Source organism: Homo sapiens, chromosome 9, assembly GCF_000001405.40.
Source record: "Homo sapiens chromosome 9, GRCh38.p14 Primary Assembly".
Taxonomy (NCBI): Eukaryota; Metazoa; Chordata; class Mammalia; order Primates; family Hominidae; genus Homo; species Homo sapiens.
The window spans coordinates 33,382,903-33,410,550 of record NC_000009.12 but is presented as its reverse complement, the minus strand read 5'-3'; the positions used below and the strand labels follow the sequence as shown (position 1 = coordinate 33,410,550).

The 27,648-nt window shown below is 52.8% G+C and overlaps 1 protein-coding gene and 1 long non-coding RNA gene across 20 annotated transcripts, besides 10 other annotated features; one reads left to right on the top strand and one right to left on the bottom strand.

The window, feature by feature from the left end:
• LOC105376020 (uncharacterized) lies at positions 1-9,030 on the bottom strand. 8 transcript variants are annotated; one of them, NR_188541.1, is made up of 5 exons: positions 8,729-9,030; positions 8,403-8,643; positions 7,974-8,129; positions 589-669; positions 1-311 (listed from the first exon to the last, which is right to left on the bottom strand). It is a non-coding gene; the product is annotated as an uncharacterized LOC105376020 (long non-coding RNA). The 8 variants fall into 8 exon arrangements; NR_188542.1 differs by lacking the exon at positions 7,974-8,129; NR_188540.1 differs by lacking the exon at positions 7,974-8,129 and having other exon boundaries at positions 8,832-9,030.
• Positions 1,827-2,326: an enhancer, noted in NCBI's record as "H3K4me1 hESC enhancer chr9:33408223-33408722 (GRCh37/hg19 assembly coordinates)". NCBI's record gives its function as "activates a minimal SCP1, AML or CMV promoter by ChIP-STARR-seq in naive H9 embryonic stem cells {active_cell/tissue: H9 hESC(naive)}" and the evidence as "EXISTENCE:reporter gene assay evidence [ECO:0000049][PMID:30033119]".
• Positions 2,327-2,828: an enhancer, noted in NCBI's record as "H3K4me1 hESC enhancer chr9:33407721-33408222 (GRCh37/hg19 assembly coordinates)". NCBI's record gives its function as "activates a minimal SCP1, AML or CMV promoter by ChIP-STARR-seq in naive H9 embryonic stem cells {active_cell/tissue: H9 hESC(naive)}" and the evidence as "EXISTENCE:reporter gene assay evidence [ECO:0000049][PMID:30033119]".
• Positions 5,658-6,215: an enhancer, noted in NCBI's record as "H3K27ac-H3K4me1 hESC enhancer chr9:33404334-33404891 (GRCh37/hg19 assembly coordinates)". NCBI's record gives its function as "activates a minimal SCP1, AML or CMV promoter by ChIP-STARR-seq in naive H9 embryonic stem cells {active_cell/tissue: H9 hESC(naive)}" and the evidence as "EXISTENCE:reporter gene assay evidence [ECO:0000049][PMID:30033119]".
• AQP7 (aquaporin 7) lies at positions 7,983-27,360 on the top strand. Of its 12 annotated transcripts, none has more exons than NM_001376193.1 (9): positions 7,983-8,178; positions 8,879-9,015; positions 9,264-9,314; positions 15,356-15,473; positions 23,459-23,582; positions 24,010-24,147; positions 24,356-24,474; positions 24,685-24,902; positions 25,320-27,360. In NM_001376193.1, exons 3-9 carry the CDS (start codon positions 9,289-9,291, stop codon positions 25,396-25,398), a joined length of 822 nt encoding a protein of 273 aa, NP_001363122.1. In that variant the 5' UTR covers positions 7,983-8,178; positions 8,879-9,015; positions 9,264-9,288; the 3' UTR covers positions 25,399-27,360. The 12 variants fall into 12 exon arrangements, 7 of the variants coding, with proteins under 7 accessions (NP_001363122.1, NP_001363120.1, NP_001363121.1 ...); NM_001376191.1 differs by having other exon boundaries at positions 25,261-27,360; NR_164778.1 differs by lacking the exon at positions 23,459-23,582 and having other exon boundaries at positions 25,261-27,360.
• Positions 8,766-9,060: a silencer, noted in NCBI's record as "tiled region #4081; K562 Repressive DNase matched - State 4:PromP". NCBI's record gives its function as "represses a minimal TATA promoter and a strong SV40 promoter by Sharpr-MPRA in K562 cells {active_cell/tissue: K562}" and the evidence as "EXISTENCE:reporter gene assay evidence [ECO:0000049][PMID:27701403]".
• Positions 18,687-19,473: an enhancer, noted in NCBI's record as "H3K4me1 hESC enhancer chr9:33391076-33391862 (GRCh37/hg19 assembly coordinates)". NCBI's record gives its function as "activates a minimal SCP1, AML or CMV promoter by ChIP-STARR-seq in primed H9 embryonic stem cells {active_cell/tissue: H9 hESC(primed)}" and the evidence as "EXISTENCE:reporter gene assay evidence [ECO:0000049][PMID:30033119]".
• Positions 18,866-19,160: an enhancer, noted in NCBI's record as "tiled region #752; HepG2 Activating non-DNase unmatched - State 5:Enh". NCBI's record gives its function as "activates a minimal TATA promoter and a strong SV40 promoter by Sharpr-MPRA in HepG2 cells {active_cell/tissue: HepG2}" and the evidence as "EXISTENCE:reporter gene assay evidence [ECO:0000049][PMID:27701403]".
• Positions 19,474-20,261: an enhancer, noted in NCBI's record as "H3K4me1 hESC enhancer chr9:33390288-33391075 (GRCh37/hg19 assembly coordinates)". NCBI's record gives its function as "activates a minimal SCP1, AML or CMV promoter by ChIP-STARR-seq in primed H9 embryonic stem cells {active_cell/tissue: H9 hESC(primed)}" and the evidence as "EXISTENCE:reporter gene assay evidence [ECO:0000049][PMID:30033119]".
• Positions 23,487-24,686: an enhancer, noted in NCBI's record as "BRD4-independent group 4 enhancer chr9:33385863-33387062 (GRCh37/hg19 assembly coordinates)". NCBI's record gives its function as "activates an origin of replication core promoter dependent on BRD2, P300/CBP, MED14 and CDK7 cofactors, and independent of BRD4, by STARR-seq in HCT116 cells {active_cell/tissue: HCT116}" and the evidence as "EXISTENCE:reporter gene assay evidence [ECO:0000049][PMID:35650434]".
• Positions 26,178-26,678: an enhancer, noted in NCBI's record as "H3K4me1 hESC enhancer chr9:33383871-33384371 (GRCh37/hg19 assembly coordinates)". NCBI's record gives its function as "activates a minimal SCP1, AML or CMV promoter by ChIP-STARR-seq in primed H9 embryonic stem cells {active_cell/tissue: H9 hESC(primed)}" and the evidence as "EXISTENCE:reporter gene assay evidence [ECO:0000049][PMID:30033119]".
• Positions 26,679-27,179: an enhancer, noted in NCBI's record as "H3K4me1 hESC enhancer chr9:33383370-33383870 (GRCh37/hg19 assembly coordinates)". NCBI's record gives its function as "activates a minimal SCP1, AML or CMV promoter by ChIP-STARR-seq in primed H9 embryonic stem cells {active_cell/tissue: H9 hESC(primed)}" and the evidence as "EXISTENCE:reporter gene assay evidence [ECO:0000049][PMID:30033119]".

Genomic DNA, 27,648 nt, shown 5'->3' with positions numbered 1-27,648 from the left:
TAGGCTGAAGAAAATGTTTTAATATTGATACATCAGGGCCGGCGTGGTGGCTCACACCTATAATTCCACTTATTTGGGAGGCCGAGGCGGGTGGATTGCTTGAGCTCAGGAGTTTGAGACTAGCCTGGGCAACATGGAGAAACTCCGCCTTTACAAAAAATACAAAAATTAGCCAGGAGTGGTGGCAGGCACCTGTAATCCCAGCTACTTGGGAGGCCAAGGCAGGAGAATCGCTTAAGCCCAGGAGGCAGAGGTTGCAGTGAGCTGAGATCGCACCATTGTACTCCAGTCTGGGTGACGGGAGTGAAACCCTGTCTCGGAAAAAAAAAAAAAATTAATATATTTGTCTTTATACCAATAGTTGTAAAATAGAATTAATTATTACTATTATTATTATTTGCTGGAAGAAGGGGCCCAAAAGGGCAAAAATGCCAAGGGCACATATATCTAAAAGAATGGAAAGCATTGGGAGCTAAATGATAAGAACTTACGAACACAAAGAAGGAAAGTGCAGACACGGGGGTCTTCTTGAGGGCGGGAGGAGGGAGAGGAGCAGAAAAGACAACTATTGGGTACTGGGCTTAGTACCTGGGTGATGTAATAATCTGTACAACAAACCACCATGACATGTGTTTACTATATGTCAAACCTTCACGTGTGCCCCCAAACCTGAAATTAAAAAAAAAATAATTGAAAGCAGGATCTCAAAAAGATAATTGCACACCCATGTTCATATCGGCACTATTCCCAATAGCCGAAAGAGGGGAGCAACTCAAGTCCAGGGATAACTGAATGGATAGACAAAATGTGGTACATTCATACAATGGAATATTGTTCAGCCTTAAGAAGAAGGAAATTAGCTGGACATGGTGGTGGGCACCCGTAATCGCAGCTACTTGGGAGGCTGAGGCAGTAGAATCACTTGAATCCAGGAGGCGGAGGTTGCAGCGAGCCAAGATTGTGCCATTGCACTCCAGCCTGAGCAAGCGACAAGAGCAAAACTCCATCTCAAAAAAAAAAAGGAAGGAAATTCTGACACGTTACATGGAGGGAGCTTTGAGAACACTATACTAAGTGAACTAAGCCAGGCACAGGTAGACACACAGTGTATGGTTTCACTCATATAAAGTATCTAGAGTAGTCAAACTCATAGAGATGGAAAGTAGAATGGTGGTTGCCAGGAGTAGGAGAAAGGGAATTGAGGAATGATTTAATGGGTATAGAGTTTGCTTTGCAAGATGACAAAGTTCTGGAGATTGTACAACAATGTGAATATACTTTCCACTATTGGACTCTACCTAAAAAATAGTTAAGATTGGGCTGGGCATGGTGGCTCATGCCTGTAATCCCAGCACTCTGGGAGGCCGAGGCGGGCAGATCATGAGGTCAGGAGTTTGAGACCAGCCTGACCAACATGGTGAAGCCCCGTCTCTACTAAAAATACAAAAATTAGGTGGGTGTGGTGGGGCACGCCTATAGTACCAGCTACTCGGGAGGCTGAGGCAGGAGAATCGCTTGAACCTGGAAGGTGGAGGTTGTAGTGAGCCGAGATCGAACCACTGCACTCCAGGCTGGATGACAGGGCAAGACTCACCAAAAAAAAAAAAAAGTTAAGACCCGCCACCCCCCAACCAAAAAAAATAGTTAAGATCACTAAGTTTATGTTGCATTTTTTACCACACACATACACACACACACACGCCAGGCTGGGCACGGTGTCTCACATCTGTAATCCCAGCACTCTAGGAAGCCAAGGTGGAAGGATTGCTTGAGCCCAGGAGTTTGAGAATAGTCTAGGCAACAAAGTGAGACCTCGTCTTCACAAAAAGAATTCAAAAAATAGTTTGGCATCTTGGTGTGCGCCTGTAGTCCGAGCTACTCAGTGAGAAGAAGCTGAGGTGAGAGGACTGCTCAAGCCCAGGAGTTTGAGGTTGCACTGAGCCAAGTTCGCACCACTGCACTCCAGCCTGGGTGACAGAGCGAGACCCTGTCTCTAGGAAAAAAAAAAAATGCCAAGGGCCTATGAAAGTCCTAATGTGCCCCTAGGGTGGAGAGGAGACCACCCAGAGATGGAGCCTGAGAGAGGTGGAGGCAGAGGGGCTATGCTGTGGGAAGAGCCTTAGCGGTGAGTGTCTCCCTCTGTCCATGCTCCAGCCTTCTCTCTCCTCCCGTTCAGGGAAGCACTGGGGCATCCTCTAGCTGGGCTAGGAGCCAGGACACCTGGGTTTGACTCACGCTAGCCCTTGGGCTGTCCCAAAAGCAGAAGAGACAGTGTCTGCTCACCCAGCCCAGCCTGGCCCAGCCTGCACCCCAGGGACCAGTGCAGGCATGGGAGGGTTCTCCATCAACCCAGGGAGAGGCCCAGCATCTAGGGAGTTGCCACTCTCCCTGGGGCCCACATGTCCCACCAAGCCTTCCTGGCTGAAGCTTAATGCCCGTGGGTGCCGGTACCCCAGACCCTGACCACACAGATCTCTGCACAGGCCCTTGCTGCAATCACTGTTCTCCTGGAAAGCTGCCAATTGAATCCCACCTTCCCACTGGCTCACCTGGACATTTCAAAGCTGCTTTCCTGCTGAAGGGAGGGGCTCATTGTGAGCATTTCCTAGGGTCTTTGCTCCCTGTTTGCCCTTAAGGGGACAACTATGCATAGAGAGGCCTCAGGATTTGGGCAGAGATGAGGGAGTCGGGAGGGTCTTTCAGGGAACGGCTGGCCTTGGCCTATGTGGAGGCAAGCAAGGAGGCTGTTCCATCAGGGAGTCCCCAGCGTGAGTGGGGAGACCGGGCAGTCACACTACACTGGGGCTACCTCCTTTCTCTGGCTGAGCAGGAGAGTGGAGAGAGTGCAGCTTGCCCGGGGGAAACTGAGATGGGCTCCCTGCCCGCCCTAATCCCCCTGTTCCCGACCCACAGCCCCTGACCAGATCAGATAGGGCACGTTCCTGCATGGAGCTGCTCACTTACTGGGACCGTGCTGACGCAGGCAGGGAAATATTAACCTGGAAGAATGGTCGCATGTTCACGTGTGCACAACTTGGGGAGTGTGTGTGTGTGTGTGTGTGTGTCTCACTACAGAGAGGCTTCCGCGTGCAAGACCAGACACACATAAGCAGATGCATGTGTGCGCACATACACACATACACAACACACACACACACACACACCTGTCCATCCACACAGGCACATGCTCACATATAGGTATATACAAAGACACAAATGCTTCTCACACATGCAAATTTCTTCAGTGTTGTCTCCCTGGCTGCTTCCGTTAATAAGACCCCTCTTCCTTCAGGAAGCCTTCCCTGATAGCTCCAGCTCATACTAGAAAGTGACAAGTCTGAGCTCAATCCCTGGTTTCAGATGCCAAGTTAGGCAGCTCCATATAGGCTCTTTTAGGATGGAGTAGGCCTAGGTTGGAATTCTGGGTTCTCGACTTCAGGGGATCTTTGCCCTTGGACAAGTGGCTGTGCCTGATCCTGTCTGCCTTGGTCTCCATCTGCTCTGTCCTGAAGGCCCATGGATGATTCTGAGAAGGATGAGAGCCTGGGCGGGGGGCGAGGGGGAGTTCTGGTAATTGGTGGGTGTGAGAGTTAAAGACCTTCCTGGGTCCTGCCTCTGCCCTTGCCCCTCCCCAGCCTCGCCGCCTAGTAGGGGAACCCTGGTCTCCTTGGGGTGAGCCAGAGCCCTGGTCTGGATGTTCTAGTTCTAGGTGATCTTGGGCAAGTTGTTACCTTGCTCTGAATCTGTTTTCCTACCTGAAAAATGAGTTTGGAAGGAGATGCTTACTTGGGTGGGGCTTAAGTGTCTTTTCTTTTTGGGGCATTCTGAGAACCTTCATGGCTTCAGATGATTCGAGAGAGACCAGGGCTCCTTGAGGGACCTGCCCTGCCCTCCTACCCCCACCCCTGCGCCTGGAACCAGAGTGGCTCCTTCCTTGCTTGTTTATACCATGGGCTCCTGAGTTATGCAAAGGATTCCGTGGCTCGAAAGAGTCGGAAAAACCACAAGTGTAAAGCAGCGTGATGAAAAGCAGTTTTTGTGATAAGTTAATCCAATGGCATGTTGATTGAAACAAATAATTAATCAAAATGTTTAGTTTTTGTGCGTGTGTCAACACTTTGGGGGACATTCGGGGACAGTTTTTAGCACCTTTAGTCATTTTTGTTTCTTCATTCTGATATTTTAAAATTTCGATTTGCATTTTCATCCTTAATTGAGTTTCAGCCAATTGTGTTTATCCCATGTTGTTCACAATAGAGAAGTGTTGGGTCCATTTAAAATTGGAGACAATCTAAACGCTCATCAATAGAAGGATTCCTTATTATATAATCTCCATCAGGTGGAATGCTGTACAACAGGCATGAGGTGGACATGGACCTACTGTCATAGAAAGATATTCTTAACAAATGTTTGAATGAAAAAAGTATTTTAGACCAAGTGCGGTGGCTCACGCCTGTAATCCCAGCACTCTGGGAGCCCGAGGCGGGTGGATCACCTGAGATCAGAAGTTTGAGACCAGCCTAGCCAACATGGTGAAACCCCATCTCTACTAAAAATACAAAAATTAGCTGGGTGTAGTGGCTCATGCCTGTAGTCCCAGCTACTCGGGAGGCTGAGGCAAGAGAATCACTCGAATCCGGGAAGTGGAGGTGGCAGTGAGCCAAGATTGTACCACTGCACTCCAGCCTGGGTGACAACAGCGAAACTCTGGCTCAAAAGATAAAATAAAATAAAAAAGTATTTTGTTTTATTTTTATATATTTATTTATTTTGAGACAGAGTCTTACTCTATCACCCATGGTGGAGTGCAGTGGTGCCATCTCAGCTCACTGCAACCTCTGCCTCCTGGGTTCAAGTAATTCTCCTGTCTCAGCCTCTTGAGTAGCTGGGATTACAGGCACCTGCCACCATACCTGGCTAATTTTTGTATTCTTAGTAGAGACGGGGTTTCACCATGTTGGCCAGGCTGGTCTCGAACTCCTGATCTCAGGTGATCCACCAACCTCAGCCTCCCAAAGTGTTGGGATTACAGGAGTGAGCCAATGCACCTGGCTATATTTTTATTTGCTAAAAATAAAACTCTGTGTGTGTGTGTGTGTGTGTGTGTGTGTGTGTGTGTGTGTGTGTGTGTGTAGGTCCTGGACAGTCACAGTTTAAGCATCAAGAGGGCCTGAGTTTAGACCAAAGGTATACCAGGTATAAGGTTGTGGCAAATATTGTTTCTTTGAAATTTAAATTTAACTGGGCATCTTATATTTTATCTGGTAACTCTACTCAAGCCCATCCTATGAAGAAAGGACCCCGGGTGTCCCCTCCCTCTCTGCCCCCCAACTATCTCCACTGGCTCAGAGACCCAGAGACCCCCCGCCGCAGGCTCTGTGCAGACTAACATGCTTCACAGCTCTGACCCAAACTCCCACCTTGGTGGCCCCTTTAGCTGCCTCTCTTCTCTCTGCAGTTGAACTTTCTGCCTCCTCAGCCTCTGCTTCTTCAGTGCTGTTGCCACCCTCTATCCCCACCAGCTCATCCAGGCAGCTGTCTGCAAACACCTGCCTGGCCAGCCCCTCCCAGCACCCAACTCTGGGGCAACAGCCCCCTACTGGCTCCCATCAGCCTCTGGGCAGCCCTGTGTCTGGGTTTCCAGCTCCTTCCACACCCACTCCTTCTTCGTCATCCTTCTTCCCCAGAATCCTGGCCCTGGCCCTTGCCTCACTCCCTGTGCTTCTTGGGCAGCCCCAGCAACTCTAGTGCTGAATGTCCAGGGGCTGATATCTCCTCTTCTCTTTCTCCAGCTAGACTCCTCTCCCCAGCCCAGGCCCAACTGCGCCTCTGCCTGCTGGATGCCCTGGGGCCTCAGGGACCTCAGGTTGACCCTGTTGCTCTTCTCTTTGTTTAGAACCCTTTGCAGGCTCCTCAGGCCCTCGGGTTAAAGTCAGAACTCCTTGGCCTGGCTGACAAAGCCCTTCATGGTCTATCCCTGCCCACTTCCGCAGCCCTCTGCAAGTCACTCGCAGTTCCCAGGTTTTCTCACAATCCCATCAAGCTTCAAATGCCCCGGTGCCCCATCCCCCTGCTCGTTTTGGAAAACTCAGTTCCCACGTCACCTCTAACGGAAGACCCTTGTACCCCTCCAGCTTGGGATAGCCCCGTCTGTATTCCTTCCAGCCTATCTGGTGTGTCCTAAGTCACCTGCTGCTTACCTGTCTCTGCCGTGAGACAGATGGGACTGTGTCTTCTCCACCTCTCAGTCCCCAGGGTCAAGCCCTGTAAAAGAGCTTAGAGCCTGATCTCTGACCCCAGCATGGATCCCAATTCCCTCCCTCACCAACCTGACACCAGCCCATTCCAACTCTGCCCAAGTGCTGACCTCATCCAAGACCCCAGATCCACTTCTAACATGACCTCATCCCGGCCCTGGGAGCACACATGGGAAAGGAAAAAAGGCAGGACTCTCCCATTTCCAAGCGTGCACCCCTCCCTTCCTGAGGAAGAAAGGCTGAATCTTGAGCCCACGTAGAATCTGCAGAGGGAGGCCGGGCGCAGTGGCTCACACCTATAATCCCAGCACTTTGGGAGGCCGAGGCGGGTGCATTACCTGAGGTCAGGAGTTCGAGACCAGCCTGACCAACATGGTGACACCCCGTCTTTACTAAAAATCCAAAAAAACTAGCTGGGCTTGGTGGTGCATGCCTGTAATCCCAGCTACTTGGGAGGCTGAGGCAGGAGAATCACTTGAACTGGGAGGCAGAGATTGTGGTGAGACAAGACTGTGCCACTGCACTCCAGCCTGGGCGGAGCGGGACTCCGTCTCAAAAAAAAAAGAATCTGCAGAGGGAAGTTAGTGCCTTACAGAGGGCTTCTGACTAGGAAGCCCCGGGACTGTGGCCGACCCCTTCCTCTCCCTGCCTCACCCCTGCAGAAAGATCTGCAGAAAAAGCTGGAAGGGGTGGGAGGGTGTGTGCAGGGGTGGGGACTGGGGCTATGCAGGTTCCAGACCTGGTCTTTGGCACCCTCTACAGGACAGTTCCATTCCCAGACCTGAGCTTTGGACAACTGAATCTTATGCCCCTTCCCACCCATGGAGCCTGGTGCCGGAAGTTCCCAGGACTTACCCACCGTCCACCACGCCACATAGCAAGCGTCCTCAGTGTCTGCAGACCAGAAACACCTCCCTTGTGTCTCAGCACTGGGCCACCTGCTGAAACCCCAAACTGCCTGCCCCATTGTTTGAGACCCAGTCAGGCCTTGGCTCCAAAAGTCCTCTGGGACTGCTGCTGGCCCCCAGGGTCTCTCCTGACTGCACCTCGGTCCCGGAGCTCCCACACCGCTGAGCCCCGAGCCCGATGTCCCGATCCAGCTCTGGGTCCTTTACGGGGGCCTTGCTGGCCTTTCCTAAGGGAGGTGTTTTCCCGAGGACAGGTGGACTGCTCCTCAGACTAGGGGCCCTCGGAGGGCCAGGCCTGGGCTTCTACCTCCTCTCGCAGGCTGGTGTTTCTCTGCAAATATGGCTCGTGTGTCCTCCTTCCTCTCAGACTGGGGGCCCCTGAGGACTGGGCCTGAGTTTCCCTTTCCCCCTTCACAATGGGGGTTCCCTGAGGACTGACCCAGGGCCTCCCCCGTCCCCTCCACCTGGCTGTTAATCTCCAACACTTCCACCTCCAGTCCTATTCTGCACAGCTCTCCCCAGCGCTGGGGGCTCAGAGGCCTCTTCAGCCTTCCCCAGGGCTGGGGCTCAGGGAGGGCTTCCTCAGGCGCTGGCCCCAGAGTCAGGCTGCACATTGGCTTGGAGGACAGGCCTTTCCTCTGGGACTGAGAGGCCCAGAGTGCCCACCCAGAGCTCCACCTCTGACCTCACAAAGGCCTGCTTCAGAACTCGGTCTCCACGGCACTGCTGGCCGGACGAGGGATGTTATTTTGGGCAGTGCATCTGGACTTGGTTCAAGTGGCACCAGCCAAACCCCTGCCTTACTGACCTCTCCCCTGGAGGAGCAGGAGCAGCGCTCGAGGCCGCCCTGGGAGAGCTGAGAGGCAGGCTCTGGACTGGGGACACAGGGATAGCTGAGCCCCAGCTGGGGGTGGAAGCTGAGCCAGGGACAGTCACGGAGGAACAAGATCAAGATGCGCTGTAACTGAGAAGCCCCCAAGGCGGAGGCTGAGAATCAGAGACATTTCAGCAGAGTGAGTGGGGCTCCAGGCAGGGTGGGGATGGGGCAGCCTCCTCAGCGCCCAGATCTGGAAGGGCCATTCCCTGGGTACCATACAGGGAGGAGGTGACTGAGGGATTGTTTGGGGAAGGAGCCCCGTCTGGGAGTGGAAGTCCCGGCTTTCTTGTTATGGTGCAGTCCTGTGTTGCTGTGTGACACAGGCACATACACCCTCTCTCTGGGCCTCAGTTTCCTTACCTGTAAGTTGGTTGTTGGGAGGACCAGCGGTAGAGCAGAGATGGCAGGGATGCACTGAGCTGGGCTGTCAGCAGACCATGGGGGTGGGACGAGGAGAGAGCTGAAGACCACCGGCAGTGGACCACAGCGGGAGGCGTGCAGGCAGGAGACGGGTCAGCTGCCGGCTTGCTGGAGTCATTCCTCCCACGCAGTCCCCTCCTGAGGGGCTGGAGCTGGGGCTGGAGGGTTTCGGCAGTCAGGGCTGGAGATAAGAGTCTGTGCTGGAGCTAGAGGGAACTGGGCTAGAGAATCAGGAGGACAGACAGGGTGAGGGGACTTCGGGCTACCTTCATGCTGTCAGTTAGAGATAAAGATAGGAGTACAAAGGGGAATTTTTGGGTGAGGTACACGGGTGAAATGAGTTTTCAGGGCCTCATCCTGTGTGTTCACCTTCTGTGTGTGTGTGTGTGCATGCGTGCATGTGTGTGTGTGTGCAGGTCCTGGACAGTCGCAGCTTAAGTTAGCAGCAAGAGGACTTGAGGTTAAAGGTATAGCACGCAAATATGAGGCTGGAGCCACTGAGTAGAGGCTGAGGGCATCTCCACAGTCCAAAGCCGGGCTGCAGACACGGAAGGTCAGCAGGAGCACTGGAGGGTCTGGCCTGGGGCTGGGGTCCTGGGGCCAGCATGGGTGGGGTGGGGCTCCAGGGCGTCGCCTCATTGGCTGAGCACCGCTCCTCCCTCCCTGTTCCTTGGCTGGGTTAAGGGAGTGGCACTAGCAGGAGCTGCCCCAGGGCTTCTCCCCTGGGGACCAAGGTCTGATGGAAGTGTGGGGCCAAGTTCTGTGTCCTCCAGCCCTAGTGACCTCTCTTTGGCTCCTCAGCATCTACAAATCTGAAAGACAAAACATGGTTCAAGCATCCGGGCACAGGCGGTAAGTACCCCACCCTCTTCTCACCCTCCAGCCCCCTGTCCTTCACCCAGCCCACTTCAGTGCCCTCCCTGTTCCATCCTCAGCCTCTCCCTTGGGGCAGCTGTCCCCACTCGACCTCCTCCTCCCCACCCACCCACTCGCCTCTGAGGTCCCAGAAGAAGAGCATCTTCCACCTGTTGCCTGGGCTGGGTCCTGGGGTGAGGGGAGGCTCAGAAATACTTGGATGAGGGTCAAGGCATGCAGGTGGCCTTCAACTCAACTGCACTCAGCACCTCTCACCCTCTCAGGCTCAGCTGTCTTTGGGGTGAACAAGAGCCAGTCCTTGCAATGGCCAAGGCCCAGCCTTGTTAGCTTTCTGGCCTCCCCACTCCAGCCCCCTGCTCTCCCTCCTCCAGCCACACTGAGTTTCTTTTCAGGTTTTTTTTTTTTTCCGAGATGGAATCCAGTTCTGTCGCCCAGGCTGGAGTGCAATGGCATGATCTTGGCTCACTGCAACCTCCTCCTCCCGGGTTCAAGCGATTCTCTTGCCTCAGCCTCCTGAGTAGCTGTGATTACAGGATTACAAGCACACACTACCACACCCAGCTAATTATTATTATTATTATTTTGGTATTTTTAGTAGAAATGGGGTTTCGCCATGTTCGCCAGGCTGTTCTTGAACTCCTGACCTCAGGTGATCCACCCGCCTTGGCCTCCCAAAAGGTTGGGATTACAGGTGTGAGCCACTGCACCTGGCCTCACACTGACTTTCTTTGCTTTCTTCAAACATGCTGAGAGTCCTCTGGTGACTAGTCTCCCTCCACCTGAGAGGCTTTCTGCAGCTAACATACAGCCCACTCTCGTCTCCTTCATGGCTTTGCTCCAAGGCCACCTTCTCAACAAGGATTACTCTGGCTGCCCTATTTGAAATCACACCCCATCTCCAGCCCCTGCACTCCCAATTCCCCTCTCCTTGCTCTGTTTTTTTCCGTAGGAGCTGGTACCTTCGCTTATACAAATGTACTTACTTATTACATTTCATTGCTGTCAGCTCCACGCAAGCAGGGATATTTGCCTGTTGTACACTTGGACGGAGAGAATGAATAGTGCCACTCTGTTGACATCATTGCCTCTAGCCTACATCGCTCTCCAGGGCTTTAGATCCTGTTTCTAGAGACCCACTGGTGTCTCACAGGCAACTCAGCTCCTAGATGGAAACAGCCTCCTCCGCCCCCTGCAAGTCCACTCCTCCTGTGCTCTTGGCTCAGTCAGGGGTCCCCTTCTCCTCAGTTGCTCAAGCCAGAAGTCAAGGTCATGTCCTTCATACTTCCCTCTCCCCCATGTCTCACATCCAGTCACCAATCTCCTAAAATATCTAGAATGTGCACAGCTTCCACCATTCTTTCTACCACCACCCTACTCCCCCATGGCCATGTCAGGCCACCACCCGCCCATTCTTCAAAACCCCCTTCAGGCCTCACCTCCCATGCCTTCCCTGAGCTCCCCCAGTCCCAGGCTGCTTCTCTCTGGTGTTGTTGCCATTACCCATCTCTTCCATTAAACAGAGTGACCCAAGGGTGGAGAGTGGGTTTTGACTTTGTATCCCTGGTGCTTGACTCATAAGTAGATGCTCAACAAAAAAAAATTTTTTTTTTTTGAGATGGAGTCTTGCTCTGTTGCCCATGCTGGAGTGCAGTGGCATGATCTCGGCTCACTGCAACTTCTGCTTCTTGGGTTCAAGCGATTCTCATGTCTCAGCCCCTCCCCCCCCAGCTGGTATTACAGGTGCCTGCCACCATGCCCAGCTAATTTTTTTTTTATTATTAGTGGAAATGGGGTTCTGCCATGTTGGCCAGGCTGGTCTTGAACTCCTGACCTCAAGTGATCCACCTGCCTCGGCCTCCTAAAGTGTTGGGATTACAGGCATGAGTCACCATGCCTGGCCAACCAATGTTTGTTGAATTAAGAAATGTTGGTTAGCAGGTTGAATTGTTGGCTCGTGGTTAGTTGGATAGTTTATGGTTGGCTGGTTGATTAGATAATTAAATGAGTTAATAGCTGGTTAACAGGAGAATCAGTTAGTTGGTTTTTGATAGGTTAGTCAAAGGGTTAGTAAGCCACCAGGCGTGGTGGCTCATGCCTGAAATCCCTGCACCTTGGGAGGCTGAGGCGGGAGGATTGCTTGAACCCTGGGAAGTCTAGGCTTCAGTGAGCTGTGACTGTGCCACCACCGCACTTCAGCCTGGGCGACAGAGTGAGACCCTGTCTCAAAAAAAAAAAAAAAGGAAAAAGAAAAAGAAAAGAAACAGGCTTTTAGTGAGCTGTTAGCTATTTAGTTCCTTGGTTAGCAGATTACTTAGGGAATCTGGTTGGCTGCCAGTTTCTTGCTTTGTAGGCTGGCTTTCTTGGGCCCCTCTTCTTAGTCTGTACCCTCTCCTTGAGCTCTCTCATCTATGCCCATGGCTCAGATGACCATCTGTGATTTGCTGTCCTCCAAATGTGTCTGTAAGTGAGACCACATGACCAGCTGCCTCCTCACTGGCCATCCCACCCAAGTGTCTAGCGGGCTCCTCACACTCAACATGCCCAGAAAGGGCCTCCTTGTCCATTCTCCCACAGCTTCTCTGCTGCGCCCCACACTAGTCAGGACCTGCCCTAGCCAGGACCTGAGGGCATCGCTGAGCTGCCCCGCTCTCTTCCCTCTCTAACCAAACACCAAGCCTGTCAGCTTGACTGTGCTCTTTTGGCCATTGGCGCTGCCATCTCTGTGGCTCAGGCTGCCGCCACTTCTCCACCCATCTGTGGAGAAGCTGATGCTCACCCTGCCTCCACTCCACTTCCTCCATCCTGGCCTCCACAGGGGAGGCAGCTCTCCTGCTGAAACCCTCCACTTGGCCCATGGCCCTCTGGTAGAGTTCAGACTCCCTAATGTGGGCCATGAGGCCTTCTGCCACCTGGCCCTGGCCCCTCTCTGCCCATCTCATGCCACCTCCACTCCTCCGTGGCCAGCCCATTCCTGCACATTGGATACTGCCTTAGCTGCAGGCCTTTGCACATGCCAGTCCTACGCCCAGAGTGATCCCTGCCTCCCTGGAGGCTCCTTTACCCTCCAGCCTTCTTTTCTTGACCTAAATTTCCCTTTCTCTGGGAGCCTCCTACCCCCTCCTCTAGGCCATTCACTTCCTCCACATGCCCCACGGTGCCCACTCTTTCAGCTGGGGCAGTGCTCATCACACTGCATAGTAATTGCTCAATTGATTGCTTTTCTTCCCACGGGCTGGATCGTACCAGTGTCCTTTACTGCAGTGTCTGAACATTCTAGGCACAGTAGATTCAAGAAATCTTGAGTTCATTGGCTGGTTGGTGGTTATCTGTTGCTTACTGTGTCTTGCCAGCTGTGTGGTGATGAGGAAGGAGCCAGGCTTCCAGGATTCTCTTGGTGTTCTTGGCTTTCTGCTCTATCCACTTCTCTCTCCTCTTCTGTGGTTACCTCCAGCATGGGAGCTGGGGTTGGATGGGGGCCAGTGGAGGGTCACCTCGCCCTGCTAGGGAGAGCAGCAGCATTCCTCAGGGCTCCTAAATTCCCCTGACCTCACAGCAGCAAAAAGTAAGCAGAGGGAATGAGAGATGTCCAGGCATGGAATAAAACATCTTCCACTTTTCAGCTGAGACCCTCTGTTCATAGCTCACCCATCCCAGTCTTTGCTCTATTCCTTACCCCAGAGAAACAAAACCAGGGAGGAGTAGATGGAGGGGGATGCAGAGTTGCGCGGATAATCCACTGGCCCCCATCCAACTCCAGCTCCCATGCAGCATCGTATAGGGGTCTCATTATCCCATGAGCAGCCTCCTCAGCCCTGAAGAAGAGACCCTACCAATGCAAGCAGCAGCCCAAAGACAGTCCTGGGAAGGTACCATAGAGGCAGGGGAGAGGTAGACAGAGCAGGGAGCCAAGAACACCAAGGAAATCCTGGAAGCCTGGCTCCTTTCTCATCAGCACACGGCAGGCAACAACCAGCCAATGAACCAAAGATTTATTGAATCTACTATGCCTACTATGTTCAGGCACTGCAGTGAAGGAAACTGGTATGATCCCAGCCCTTAGGAAGAAAAACCGTTAATTAATTATTAATCAAGCTTTTTTTTTTTTTTTTTTTGAGACAGGGTGTCACTCTGTCACCCATGCTGGAGTGCAGTGGTGTGATCTCAGCTCACTGCAACCTCTGCCTTCTGAGCTCAGGCAATCCTCCCACCTCAGCCTCCCCATTAGCTGGGACCACAGGCGTACACCACAACACCTGACTAATTTTTGTATTTTTTTTTTTGTAGAGATGAGGTTTTGTCATACTGCCCAGGCTGGTCTTGAACTCCTGGGCTCAAGCGATCAGCTCGCCTCGGCAAGTGCTGGGATTACAGGCGTGAGACACTGTGCCTGGCCTAACTGAGCAATTACTATGCAGTGTGATGAGCATTGCCCCAGCTGAAAGAGTGGGCACCGTGGGGCATGTGGAAGAAGTGAATGGCCTAGAGGAGAGGGTAGGAGGCTCTCCCAGAGAAAGGGAAATTTAGGTCAAGAAAAGAAGGCTGGTGGGTAAAGGAGCCTCTGGGGAGGCAGGGGACCATTCTGGGCGTAGGACTGGCATGTGCAAAGGCCTGCAGCTAAGGCAGTACGTGATGTGCAAGGATGGGCTGGCCAGAGGAGTTGAGGGGCTGGTGTCAGCTTCCGGGCATGCAGACAGTGAGATAGCAGAGTGACTAAGGCCACACTTAGAGGTATCTGTATCCCTCTTCTTCCTCTTTTTTTTTTTTTTTTTTTTTTGAGATGGAGTCTCGCTCTTGTTGCCCAGGCTGGAGTGCAGTGGCAAGATCTCGGCTCACCACAACCTCCATCTCCCATGTTCAAGCGATTCTCCTGCCTCAGCCTCCAAAGTAGCTGGGATTACAGGCATGCGCCATCATGCCTGGCTAATTTTGTATTTTTTAGTAGAGATGGGGTTTCTCTATCTTGGTCAGGCTGGTCTCGAACTCCCGACCTCAGGTGATCTGCCCACCTTGGCCTACCAAAGTGCTGGGATTATAGGCGTGAGCCACCGGGCCCAGCCCCTCTTCTTCCTCTTTATCCTCCAGGCCCACCCCGCCACCTTCCCCAAACTCCAGTCCTATACCTCTCTCTATATGCAGATTTGGGCCCTGTTACTCACCTGTTTCATCTACCTTTCCATCTAACCGTGCACTTAACTCAATATAAATCAAGTGCCAGGCCCTTTGGGAAGCTCTGAGGATCTAGTTGGGAGTAAGACAGATTCCCCAGTTTTCACTCATTCAACAAATACTTATTGCACATCTACTATGTGCCTGGCGTGGTGCTGGGCACTGAAGATACACCAGGAAGTAGATCCAGTCCTTCCTTTTCTCCCTCCCTCTCTCTTGGTCATTCATTCATTCACTCACTCTCTCACAAACCTCTGTTTGCACTGACCTGGTTGCACAGCCTGGTGCATTTTGCTGACCCCTTCATTTTTGACAGAACCTGGCGCTTGTTTCAGCGCTCAGTGCTGTTTATAGAGCTCGGCAGCAGACTTTGTCACACCTCATGCTGTTTGTAGAGTGCCTCACTGTTGCCAGGCCCTGGCCTGTGACCCCAAAGTTCTGGCTCTAGCAGATAGGCAGACGGACAGACGGACAGACATAGACAACTGAGCTCCACTTTCCAGCCTGCTCTCTCCCACCCTGCTTTTTTCCAGAGGCTTGTTGGCACCGTGGATTGCACTTTCAGCTCCCCACCCGCCCATCTGCAAAGTGGCCTCATTGGTGTGCCATTTTTACTGGTCCAGTCCCAACTAGAAGGGGCATGGCCTGGCCATCTACCCCAGTTCCTCTCCATGTCCCCGTGGCTCTCAAGTGTCTCCAATTCCAGCTGTCCCAGCTGCCCTGCGCAAGAGGAGGCGTGTGTGGGCGAGGCTGCTGGGTTACCTATTAACTCAGCTGGGAGTTGAAGAGCCGATGGGCAGCAGGCAGACTTGAGTCTCCTTTCTGTCCATGGGCTCGGGCCACTGTCTTAGGTCCACCCGTGGCTCCAAAATGGTCTCCTGGTCCGTGATAGCAAAGATCCAGGAAATACTGCAGAGGAAGATGGTGCGAGAGTTCCTGGCCGAGTTCATGAGCACATATGTCATGATGGTGAGTGGGTGGGCAGCACGAAGTGGGTGGGGCTCCGCCAGGGCCGTCCATGACCCCCTCCCCATGCTGACCCCATGGGTCACATTGTCCATTCCTTGCCTCTGAGCTGGGAGCCTGGGGAAGCAGCAGAGGAAAGTAAGGAGGGGGGGCTTTCTCATCAAGCCTTTTTGGACAGAAAGGGCTCATAATATGTGGGGGTCAAATGAAACCATGCACTGGGGTATCCGGGGCACGGCTGGAAATGGGGAGAAGGGAAACCCAGGATAAAGAGATTGAAGAGGCCCAGGTGCGGTGGCTCATGCCTGTAATTCCAGCACTTTGGGAGGCTTAGGCAGGTGGATCACCTGAGGTCAAGAGTTCGAAACCAGCCTGGCCAACATGGTGAAACCCCGTCTCTACTAAAAATACAAAAATTAGCTGGGCATGGTGGCGGACGCCTGTAATCTCAGTTATTCAGGAGGCTGAGGCAGGAGAATCACTTGAGCCCAGGAGGCGGAGGTTGCAGTGAGCTGAGATCACACCATTGCACTCCAGCCTGGGTGACAGGAGCGAAACTCTGTCTCAAAAAAAAAAAAGAAAAAAAAAAAAAAAGAGAGAGAGAGATTGAAGAGAAACTTGATGATCGGGCTCTGATAATGAATCCAGAGGGCAGTGGGTGATGTTGAAGGCTGGCAAGCAGGGGAGTGACATGATCAGATTTGGGTTTTAAAGGTAATTTTGGGTGCAGTGTGGAGCATAAGCAGAACAGGCAAGGCTGGCAAGAGGGAACCAGTTAAGAGGCTGTTTTTGATCTGGGACAGAGAGAAGGTGATGACTGGTTTGGGGTTGGAGAAGAAAGCACATGTTTGAGAGGGCTGTGGAAGACAGAATCAGGGAGACTCTGCCAGCAGAAGATGTGGGCAAAGCGCCGATGAGCTGTTCTGGAGCACGGGGCCCAGCACAGGGTGAGAGGTGAGATGCCTGTGGGGAAATCCAGGAGATAGTTAAACACATGCAAGGGGCTGGAGCTCAGGAGAGGCTTGGTCTGGAAGGAAAAAGTTGAAGTTCATCACAACACAGGTGGTAGTTGTCAATACTGTCCAGAGACAGTGTACAGAAAGAGAAAAGGATGGGTTGAGGACAGAGCCCTGAGGAATGAAGAAGGGCATGCAAAGGAGCCTGAGAAGGAACGGTCAGAGAGGTGGGAGGAGAACCAGAGCAGACTGCATGACAGAGGGGGGCAGTGGTTCCACCAGGAAGAAGCCGTCAGCGGCGTGGGCAGCGGCAGATGGGCCACGCGAGGTGAGTACTGGCAAGAGGCCTTTGGGTTTGGCAACGTGGAGGTTGCTGGTAACCTTGACAAGGGCTCTTCTTTAGTGTGTGATTGGGACAGAATCCAGACTGCAGGCGGGATGTGAGGTTGCTCCCTCTCCACCTGCTTCAGCCCTGCCACTTACCCCAGCGAGCCTCTGCCCTTAACGTGACTGTAGCCATGTTTATTGCATCTTATGCAGGGTCCAGGGTCTAGAGAAAGAAGGGGCAGCCTCTGGGAAGGGAGGCAAAGGCAGCCAGGTGCATGCTAGAGGAAGGTGGGGTGAGAGAGGCTGTTTGTGTGTGTGGTGGGGCCCATGGAGCTCAAGGGAGACAGGAAATCGGAACACCGGGGTTCTTAGCCTGACCCTGCCACTGAGTGACCAGTTGGCCTTGGGCATGTCTCTGCATGGCTTAAAGCCTGACTTCTCACTTATATCATGTAGAATTAGGCTTTCGTGGGCTTTGGAGCTGTGTTTGAATCCTAGCTCTGTTATCTTCTAGCTGTGCGACTATCCACAAGTATCTTAACTGTTCACAAATTTAGCTTTCTTATTTTTGAGACAGGGTCTCACTCTGTCTCCTAGGATGGAGTGCAGTGGTGTGATCTCAGCTCACTGCAGCCCCCACCTCCCATACTCAAGTGACTCTCTTGCCTCAGCCTCCTGAGTAGCTGGGACTACAGGCGCGTGCCAGTGTGCTCAGCTAATTTTTCTATTTTTAGTAGAGATGGGGTTTCACCATGTTGGCCAGGCTGGTTTCGAACTCCCGAATTCAGGTGATCTGCCTGCCTCAGCCTCCCAAAGTGCTGGGATTGCTGGCGTGAGTCACCTCGCCCGGCCCACAACTGTAGCTTCCTTATTGGTTAACAGGAGCACTAACATCAAACTGGAGGACTTGTGTGAAGAAGGCCAAGTCTCAGCACCCAGTACACCTGTGGTACCCATGTATTGGTCCCTTGTTATTAGGACGGGTGCTCTAGCTGCTCTCTCCTCTCTGCCTCTAGCCCTCCTTTGCTCCTCTCCTACCTCCCCACCTGCTTTGGCTCCTGAGCTGTGAGGACAGCAGTTGGATCCTGTCCCTCCTTAATCCAGGGCAAAGTAATGATCTTATCACAAGACATTCCAGCCCCATGAGGGCTGTTAACCCTTGGAACCTCGGAGGCAGGAGGGTGCGTCCTCTGAGAGCTGTTAGGGAAATAGGCACCGCCCACATGCTTGATACCTGCCCACATCTGTGTTCCTCTTCCTTTTGTTGAGATTTTCATTGAGCACCTAATGCATCCCGGGCTCTGTGATGCTAAGCCCCTTACGTGCAGCATCTTCCCAAATCCTCGCAATAGCCCTGTGAAGTAGGTACTATTATTATCCCAGTTTCACAGATGGGAAAACTGAGGCTCCTTGAGACTAAGCCTTTTGCCCAAGGTCACACTGTAAGTCAAGATTAAATCCAGTGCAGTCTAATATCACAGTCTTTTTTTTTTTTTTTGAGATACAGTCTTGCTTTGTCACAGTGGCGCGATCTCAGCTCACTGCAACCTCCATCTCCCGGGTTCAAGCGATTCTTGCGCCTCAGCCTCTGGAGTAGCTGGAATTACAGGTGCATGCCACCATGCCCAGCCAATTTTTGTATTTTTAGGAAAGACGAGGTTTCACCATGTTGTCAAGGCTGGTCTTGAACTCCTGACTTCAAGTGATCCTCCCACCTCGGCCTCCCAAAGTGCTGGGATTACAGGCATGAGTCACCGTGCCCGGCCCAGTATCACAGTCTTGACCGTTAACCTCTATGCTCTGTCCCTTAGCTTAAATATTGCCAGCTTTTGAAGACTCTGGCTTGTTAATGCTCCCCCAGCCAGGGTAAGGTCCTCACTTTCAGGTAGTTCAAGATGCCTCTCTCGGCCTCAGTTTCCCCATTTATAGAGTGGGAGAAAAATTCTTGCCGTGCAGATTTGCTGTGAGGATTGAAGACAGTAGCACTTGTAAAAGAACTTTGTGAGGTGTAAGCCTATATCGGACATTGTGTTGTTGTTATTTTTAGTTGCCAGGCTGTGCCAAGAAGTGAGGGCTTTTTGTTTTTGTTTTTATATATATATACAGGAATCTCAGTGAGTCACCAGGGTGAAGGTTTTGCCAAAAAAGCTAGTGTGACCTTGGCCCCATTTATTGCAGCCAGGATGAGGGAAGTGGACTGATCCATGTTGCAGCTTCCAGGGGTGTTGCCCTTGGAGCTGGCCTCCTGGCTGTGGGGGAGAGTTGGATGGGCTGGGCCACATTCACTGATCAGGGAGAGGAGGGGCTGGAGCCATCCGGGCCCTGGAAAACCAGCCATACACGTGAGACACGGGGCAAGGGTTGTAGATCACATGCTACGGGGGCCAAGAGAGCGGCAACTCAGGGCGGTGGGGACTTTGGCTGGCTGCAGAGTGCCAATCTGTGCAAGGCTGTAGAGCTGCCGCCACTCCAGCTGACTGTTGCCATGGAGAGTGGAATGCAGGCCAGTGTTGCCTGAGCTGCTCATTTTTCAAGAGAGAAGGAAACTTCTGTTCTTCAAAACCAAGTTATCTAAACAAAACCTGTGCGCTGGATGAATTACGTGCATGAGTTGCCAGTTGGCAACCCTGACACAGGGAATCATGTGGGGTTCATTCACTCACCCAGTATTTTATTTTATTTATTTATTTTGAGACCGAGTCTCACCCTGTTGCCCAGGCTGGAGTGCAGTGGTGTGATCTCAGTTCACTACTCTGCCTCCCAGGTTCAAGTGATTCTCCTGCCTCAGCCTCCTGAGTAGCTGGGATTACAGGCATGTGCCACCACGCCTGGCTAATTTTTTGTATCTTTAGTAGAGACGGGGTTTCACCATGTCGGCCAGGCAGGTCTCGAACTCCTGACCTCATGATCGGCCTGCCTCGGCCTCCCAAAGTGCTGGGATTACAGGCGTGAGCCACCGCGCCCAGCCTATGCTCATCCAGTATTTTTAGCACATGGTATTGGAATGGGGGAAAGGCCATGGGGGCCCCTCTGTTTTCAGACCCTCCATGCCTGCTCCAGTCCCTCTACCTCTTGACCCTGCCAGCCTGTCAACCTGTCCTGGCCTCACTCCCCCCTGCACCCCCATCTGTTCCTGTCCTCTCCTGCTGTATCTTATCCTGGATCTGAAGCCAGCCTAGCTCTGGGCTCCCCTGCTTCTGTCCTGGGGCTTCTGAGGGACCCAGTGGGCCCTGCTCAGCTGCCTCTCCCCCACCATATCTGGGCTATTTCACATTTTCTCAGACTTCCCCAAAGCTGCTCTGTACTCTGACTTTTTTTTTTTTTTAAATCAGCAAATGGCTTGATCTGCTGCTTGACAGGTAAAATAATCAACACTTCCTGTGTTCAGCTCACCCTCTTGTCCCTCTCACCACCAGACCCATTAACCACCCATGTATCCACATATCACCCCTTGGCTGGGGCGGGGTCCTCTCCTTCCTGGAGGACCCCTCCACTTCTGCACCAATCCAGCTGTCCAGCCTATTCAGGTACTTTACTCTGTCCTTTTTCTCTGTCCTTTATCTTCAGCCTGTCCCTCTCTCAGCCTATAAATATACTGAAGTTTCTCCACTGAAAACAACACAAAATGAAACATCCCTCCCTTCACCCTGTCAGCCCCTTCGCGGGATCATGTTCTCTCTCCCCCGCTCCTCAGGCGAGTTCTCGAAGAGGAGTCTACACTGGTGTCTTTCAACTCTTTTTCTTTCTTTTCTTTTTTTTTTTTTTTTTTTGAGACGGAGTCTTGCTCTGTCACCCAGGCTGGAGTGTAGTGGCGTGATCTCGGCTCACTGCAAGCTCCGCGTCTTGGGTTCAAGCAATTCTCCTGTCTCAGCCTCCTGAGTAGCTGGGATTACAGGCAAGCGCCACCACACCTGGCTAATTTTTGTATTATTAGTAGAGACGGGGTTTTGTCATGCTGGTCTTGAACTCCTGACCTAAAGTGATCCATCCACCTCGGCCTCCCAAAGTGCTGGGATTACAGGCATGAGCCACCGCATCCGGCCTGGTCTGCCTTCTTACCCTGTACCCTCTCCTGGGGCCTTCTCCTCTGACGGCTTTGACTTCGGCCCTCATGTCTACAATTCTCCAGGTTTTCTCTTTTATCAACTCTAGAACAGAGTTCTCCAGGGGAAATACAATACAAGCCATCTGTATAATTTAAATTTTTCTAGTATCCACATTAAAAAGGTAAAAAGCAACAGGTGAAATTAATTTTAATAATTAACCCATATATCCAAAATCCTATTTCAAGATGCAGTCAATGTAAAATTATTAGGATATTCTGGCCAGGCATGGTGGCTCACACCTGTAATCCCAGCACTCTGGGAGGCTGAGGTGAGAGGACTGCTTAAGGCCAGGAGCTCGAGACCAGCCCGGGCAACATAGTGAAACCTCATCTCTACACAAAATAAATTGAAAAAATTAGCTGGGACAGGGCGCAGTGGCTCATGCCTGTAATCCCAGGACTTTGGGAGGCCAAGGCAGGCGGATCATCTGAGGTCAGGTGTTTGAGACCAGTCTGGCCAACATCGTGAAACCCTGTCTCTACTAAAAATACAAAAAAATAGTTGGGCATGGTGGCGTGCACCTATTATCTCAACTACTCGGGAGGCTAAGGCAGGAGAATCACTTGAACCCGGGAGTTGGAGGTTGCAGTGAGTAGAGATCGTGCCATTGCACTCCAGCTTGGGCGACAGAGCAAGACTCTGTCTCAAAAAAAAAAAAAAAAAAAAAATTGGCTGGGTGCCGAGGCACATGCCCATAGTCCCAACTACTTGGGAGGCTGAGGTGGGAGGATCACTTGGGCCCAGGAGATGGAGGCTGCAATGAGCCCTGATCATGGCACTGCACTCCAGCCTGGGTGATAGAGCAAAACCCTGTCTCAAACATCAAACAAACAAACAAAACAGTGGCACAAGAAAGCAAGGCATGCATGGAGCAGCACAGTTGTTTGGTTTGAGGCCATCTGGCACAGGTAACTGCCTGGATTTAATCCTGGCTCACCAGGTACAGGCTGTGTGACCTTGGACAAGCCATTCAAGTTCTCTAAGCTTCAGATTACCCTCTGTCAAGTGGGGGAGAATAATAGTGCTTAAGTCATAAGATTGGTGTTAAGGGTTAAAGGAGGTGATCAGTATAACTCGCTGGCATGTAGGCAGTGCTCAATAAATGGTTATTATTATTTAGTAGTAATACTATTGCTGAATACAAAGAGTATTGGGGCAGATATGAAACAGGCAGAAAGGATGAAATTATGCAGGGTCTTCAATGGTGGCCTACTGAGTTTGGACTTTATCCTAGAAGTGGAGGAGAGCCAGTGAGTGAGTCTGGGGAAGACGCGATGGGGTTTTTGTTAGGAAGATCACTCTGGCTGCAAGGAGGAGGCTGGGTGAGGTTTGGGGAGAATGTAAGCAGAGCTGATTGGATGCTGGGGAGGATGGCGAGGAAGCTCTCATTTGCAACATCTGTTTCTGGCTCGGCCAACGGGGATGGGGAACATAGAGTGAGGAGCAGGTGTGCTGTGAGATGGCGAACCTTCAACAGAGCCTGAGACGCCCGCGGAACACCAGGAGAGTTCCAGTGGGGATTTGCAAATAGGGATCCGGCTCCCCCGCGGAGATGACGGGAATTTTAGCGCATCAGGCATAGCTGAGACTGTCTACGTGGTAAAACCATGCCTGAAAAGACCTTTGGAAAATCAGGAGGTTGCTGGAGCCCTTGGAGAGAGCTTTGGTGTCTGTGACATGTGGAAGTGGAAGCCAGATTGAGGAGGGGGTGCGAGGGAAGGGGTGAAGCAGCTGGCCAGCGTGTTCTCTCCTGCGGCCTGACTGAAGCAGGGAGGAGGCAACCAGGAACCCACAGCTGGAGAAGGACGCTGGGCAGGGGTGGGACAGTTTGCTGGGAAGGATGAGACTCCAGTGTGTGGGAGCCGATCAGTGGGAGGATGGAAGGTATGGGGGAGACGGAGGCCTCTGCAGAGGGAGAGGATAGCACAGGAGCCAGGGCTGAAGGGAACAGTGGCTCTGGACTGAGGCTAATGGGCCTGAAGGTAGGCCCCTTCCCCTGTGAAGGCGTCATTATCTGAGGAGCCGTGAGGGATGGGCAAGAAGCAGCAGCTTGGGAATGCCGCCTGAGGTCAGTGGAAATGAAGCTGAGGGCAAGACAGTTAGGGCCCCACTGTTCCAGCATTGTGGGAATTGCGGTGGAGTGTGTGTGTGTGTGTTTGTGCAGGGAGGGGTTCCTGGCAGAGTCAGGCACGGATGGATTTGGAGGTCCCTTGAAGAAACTTCCTTCAGGCCAGCCTGAAGTGTGAGAGACTCTGAGGGGGTGCAATGCATGCCAGCCATCCCCTCCTCGCAGCCCTGCCTCACCCCAAAACTTCAGGTGGGCCTGGGGCTGAGGTGCTTGGATGTTTGTCGTAAGAGCTTCTAACTCTGCCGCTCCACCCGGCTCTCAGTGGCTCAGGTCTGAGAGGCCTCAGCAGGGGCAAGGAGAGGAGGCAGTGAGGAGGGAAGGCTCTGGAGGAAGAGGGCGTGGCAGCGGGTCTTCGAGGCAATGCCAGGGAGGCCCAGGGCATGGGGGTGAGGAGCTAGAACTGAGCTCTGAGCCCTCCTCTGAGGTTGGGGCTTCTGGGCAGGCAGCCCCCTTAGAGGCCCTCCCTTGTAGGTATTCGGCCTTGGTTCCGTGGCCCATATGGTTCTAAATAAAAAATATGGGAGCTACCTTGGTGTCAACTTGGGTTTTGGCTTCGGAGTCACCATGGGAGTGCACGTGGCAGGCCGCATCTCTGGTGAGTGAGCCCAGGCCCTGCCGGACCGGGCAAGACCAGGTGTCCCCAACAGGCTCTTTCCTGCCCGCCTCAGCCAGCTTCTTTGCCAGCACAGCCAGTGCCTCAGCCTGGCCACCGGGCGGGAGGAAGTCTCCTCTGAACCCCGTGCCTATGACGTGTTTGCCCCAGATTCTTCCTGGGCCCCCCGACCTACCATTTTCACTGGCTGGGTCATCTTAGGCAAGCCATCGCCTCTGTGTTCCTCAGTTTCCTTGAGAGTGAAACGAAGATGGTGGCCCCTGCCTCACGGGGTGGTTGTGAGGGCTCAAGGAGAGAGCTCTGTCACGGAGCATGCTGTCATACACACTAGCCATCGTTGTTCTCATACTGTTTGTCACTGTTGTTTGTTCTGCTCTCACTCCCTGACACACTTGCCTGCTGCCCGCAGGAGCCCACATGAACGCAGCTGTGACCTTTGCTAACTGTGCGCTGGGCCGCGTGCCCTGGAGGAAGTTTCCGGTCTATGTGCTGGGGCAGTTCCTGGGCTCCTTCCTGGCGGCTGCCACCATCTACAGTCTCTTCTACAGTGAGTATCCTGCCCGGGTGTCCGCCTCTGGCCTCAGCCGCCTCCTATGAAATATGGGCAGATTGGACCTCAGTGTCCTGATTTGTAAAAAATAGCTGGGAGAAAAAAGCCTTGGAGATCCCCCACCCTCTAACCTATAACCTCATTTCTGGGACCCCGGTGGGGCTTAGTTGGGAGCAGGTTCGCATGACAGTCTGTGTCTCCGCAGCGGCCATTCTCCACTTTTCGGGTGGACAGCTGATGGTGACCGGTCCCGTCGCTACAGCTGGCATTTTTGCCACCTACCTTCCTGATCACATGACATTGTGGCGGGGCTTCCTGAATGAGGTCAGTGGTCGAGGATGAGTATCCCTCCCCCTGCCCTCCACCCCTCAGGACGGAGCCAGCAGGGAGTCCCTCCGGATAGACAGGACAAGAACTCTGGATGGAGACTGTACCGAGACGTGTCTCTGCTGGTGGGCTTGGGTCTGGGGCACTGCCGAGGTCCTGTGGCTTGGGGAGGGGCCCAGGTGAGCTGCCACAGCATCTGCTCCTCAGGCGTGGCTGACCGGGATGCTCCAGCTGTGTCTCTTCGCCATCACGGACCAGGAGAACAACCCAGCACTGCCAGGAACAGAGGCGCTGGTGATAGGCATCCTCGTGGTCATCATCGGGGTGTCCCTTGGCATGAACACAGGATATGCCATCAACCCGTCCCGGGACCTGCCCCCCCGCATCTTCACCTTCATTGCTGGTTGGGGCAAACAGGTCTTCAGGTACTGCCCCTGCCCAGGCCCATTCCTTTGAGTTTTTCTGTGGGTCCCCTGTGTGTTGAGGGGTGGGGGGTGATGTGAGGGGCAGCACAGGAGGGTCCTGCTGAGCCCCCAGGTAGCCTGGGGAGCAGGAGTGAGTCCCAACATTTCCCCAGGCCAGTACAGATACAGATCCTGCACCTGCACTGAGTGTCAACGCTGTCCCTGAATTGGGCTGAGGCTGACCAGGGCCCTGGGTTGGGGGTGTTTCCTGGGGTAGCCTGGGGATGACTCCTCTGCTCAACCTGTCTTGGCCCGAGGTGGATGAGGGTGCTGTCCTGGGCATCAGCCCCCTCAGCAGGCCTCTGCCTCTTGCCTGCAGCAATGGGGAGAACTGGTGGTGGGTGCCAGTGGTGGCACCACTTCTGGGTGCCTATCTAGGTGGCATCATCTACCTGGTCTTCATTGGCTCCACCATCCCACGGGAGCCCCTGAAATTGGAGGATTCTGTGGCGTATGAAGACCACGGGATAACCGTATTGCCCAAGATGGGATCTCATGAACCCACGATCTCTCCCCTCACCCCCGTCTCTGTGAGCCCTGCCAACAGATCTTCAGTCCACCCTGCCCCACCCTTACATGAATCCATGGCCCTAGAGCACTTCTAAGCAGAGATTATTTGTGATCCCATCCATTCCCCAATAAAGCAAGGCTTGTCCGACAGCAGTACCCCCACTTCCTGGGGGCCTCCTGTGGTTGGGCTTCCCTCCTGGGTTCTTACAGGAGCTCCAGGGCTATGTCTTAGCCCAAGGTGTAGAGGTGAGGCACCTCAAGTCTTTCATGCCCTGGGAACTGGGGTGCCCCAGGGGGAGAATGGGGAAGAGATGACCTGCGCCCTCAGTAGGAACAGGGTGAGATGAAAGAACGACAGAATGAGGGATTTTCAGGCACGGGGGAAGGAAGGGTGGTTTTGGGGAACAGACCGTAGCTGACTGGTTGGGGGCCGGCTTTGGAAATACTTTGAGGGGATCCTGAGATTGGACTCTAGACTCTCCCCTGGTTCTTCCCTTCCCTGAGTTCTGGCCGGTTCTTGGACCAGACAAGGCAAGGCCCAAGAATGTAGATCAGAATTTTTTAGCCTTTTTTTCATTAGTTCCTTCCCTAGTATTCTTCTAGATTTTTTTTTTCTTAATCACATGAAATTTTAATACCACAGATGTACTATATATCTGTTTATGTTCTGTATATGTTCTGTGCTTTATACATAAAAAAGAGTAAGATTTTTTTTTCACCTCCCCTTTTAAGAATCAGTTTTAATTCCCTTGAGAATGCTTGTTATAGATTGAAGGCTGTTAAGGGGTTGGGCTCCTCTTTCTTCTTCCTGGTGCCAGAGTGCTCCCACATGAAGGAATAGGAAAGGAAGATGCAAAGAGGGAAATCCTTCGACCACATGAAGACACAGGAAGAGGCCTCATAGGGCTCCAAGGGCTCCAGGGAAGCAGGTGCAGAGGTTGGGTGGGGTGAGGGGCCAGGATCCACTGACCCTGGGGCCAGGCAGGAATCACTCTGTTGCCTGGGGCTCAGAAGGCAGCATCACCCATGGTTCCTGTCCTTGCTCATGCATTTTGCCTTTCAATAATTATTGTGCATCTACTGTGTGCAGGCCCTGCCTGGACACTGGGGATGCGCAGTGGATGCGCTGGGCTCTGCCTTTGAGGGTTGCAGTTTAATGGGGGACAGGTAATTATATGGAAGAAGGTGAGTGCAGAGTGGGAGGCTTGGAGGCTGTGGGGCTCGGGGTAGGGGAGCTCACATCCAGCCTCTGGGCCAAGGCCAGGAGGCTTCCCAGAGGAGGAGACAGAGCAGGGTATGGTGGTGGGGGGTGTCCTTTTTGGGGGTGGGAGCTGCACTTTACAGTTTGAGGGGATGGGCAGAGGAGGCTGGGCTTCGTTCTGGAGGTGGGGACACGGTGAGGTGAGGTTTAGAAAGCACACCTGAGCCGCAGTGTGTAGGATGCTGGAAATGGTGGAGATGGGCCTGCGAAAGTGATGACCCAGGAGCAGCAGCCGGGCACCTAACAATGGGTCAGCACCGTGGGCGTGGAGACGAGAGCGGGGATTGATCAATACCGGAGAAGTACAATGTACAGGACTTGGGTTCCATTTGGATGGAGTGGGTGAGGGAGAGGGAGGAGTCAGAAATGGCTTCCGGTTTCCAGCTTGGGCCTGGGGATTGGAGATGTCCCCACTGAGAGTAGGGCACAAGTGAGGAAATGGTTTGGAGAGGAAGATAAGTTACATCATGGACATGCTGAGTCTGAGTTGCCTATGGGACTTGGAATGGGGGGTGGCAAAATGTGTGTGATCTTGAGCAAGATATTCAACCCTTCTGGGCCTTGGTCTTCTTATTTGTAAAATGGCGATAAGAATATTACTTCCCATTTGTGTTGCTGTGAATATTAAATGCGCTACCACATGTAAAATGTTGAGAATCATTTCTGGCTCAGAGTAAGTGCTCAATAAACACAGTTATGCCTTTTATATGGTCTGGAGCTCAGAAGCGGAAGACAGGGTTTCGTGAAGTCATGGCTTTGTGGATGTAGCTAGATTGTGGAGTAATGACAGGAGGGTTGGGGGCATGGCACAAGGTAGGTGGTCAAGAGACACTGGACACAACCCAAATGTCCATCCACAGGGGAACAGATACATACACTGCTGCGCAATTGCACATAATAGAACCCTCTACAATAGCAAAAATTAAGGCACAACAG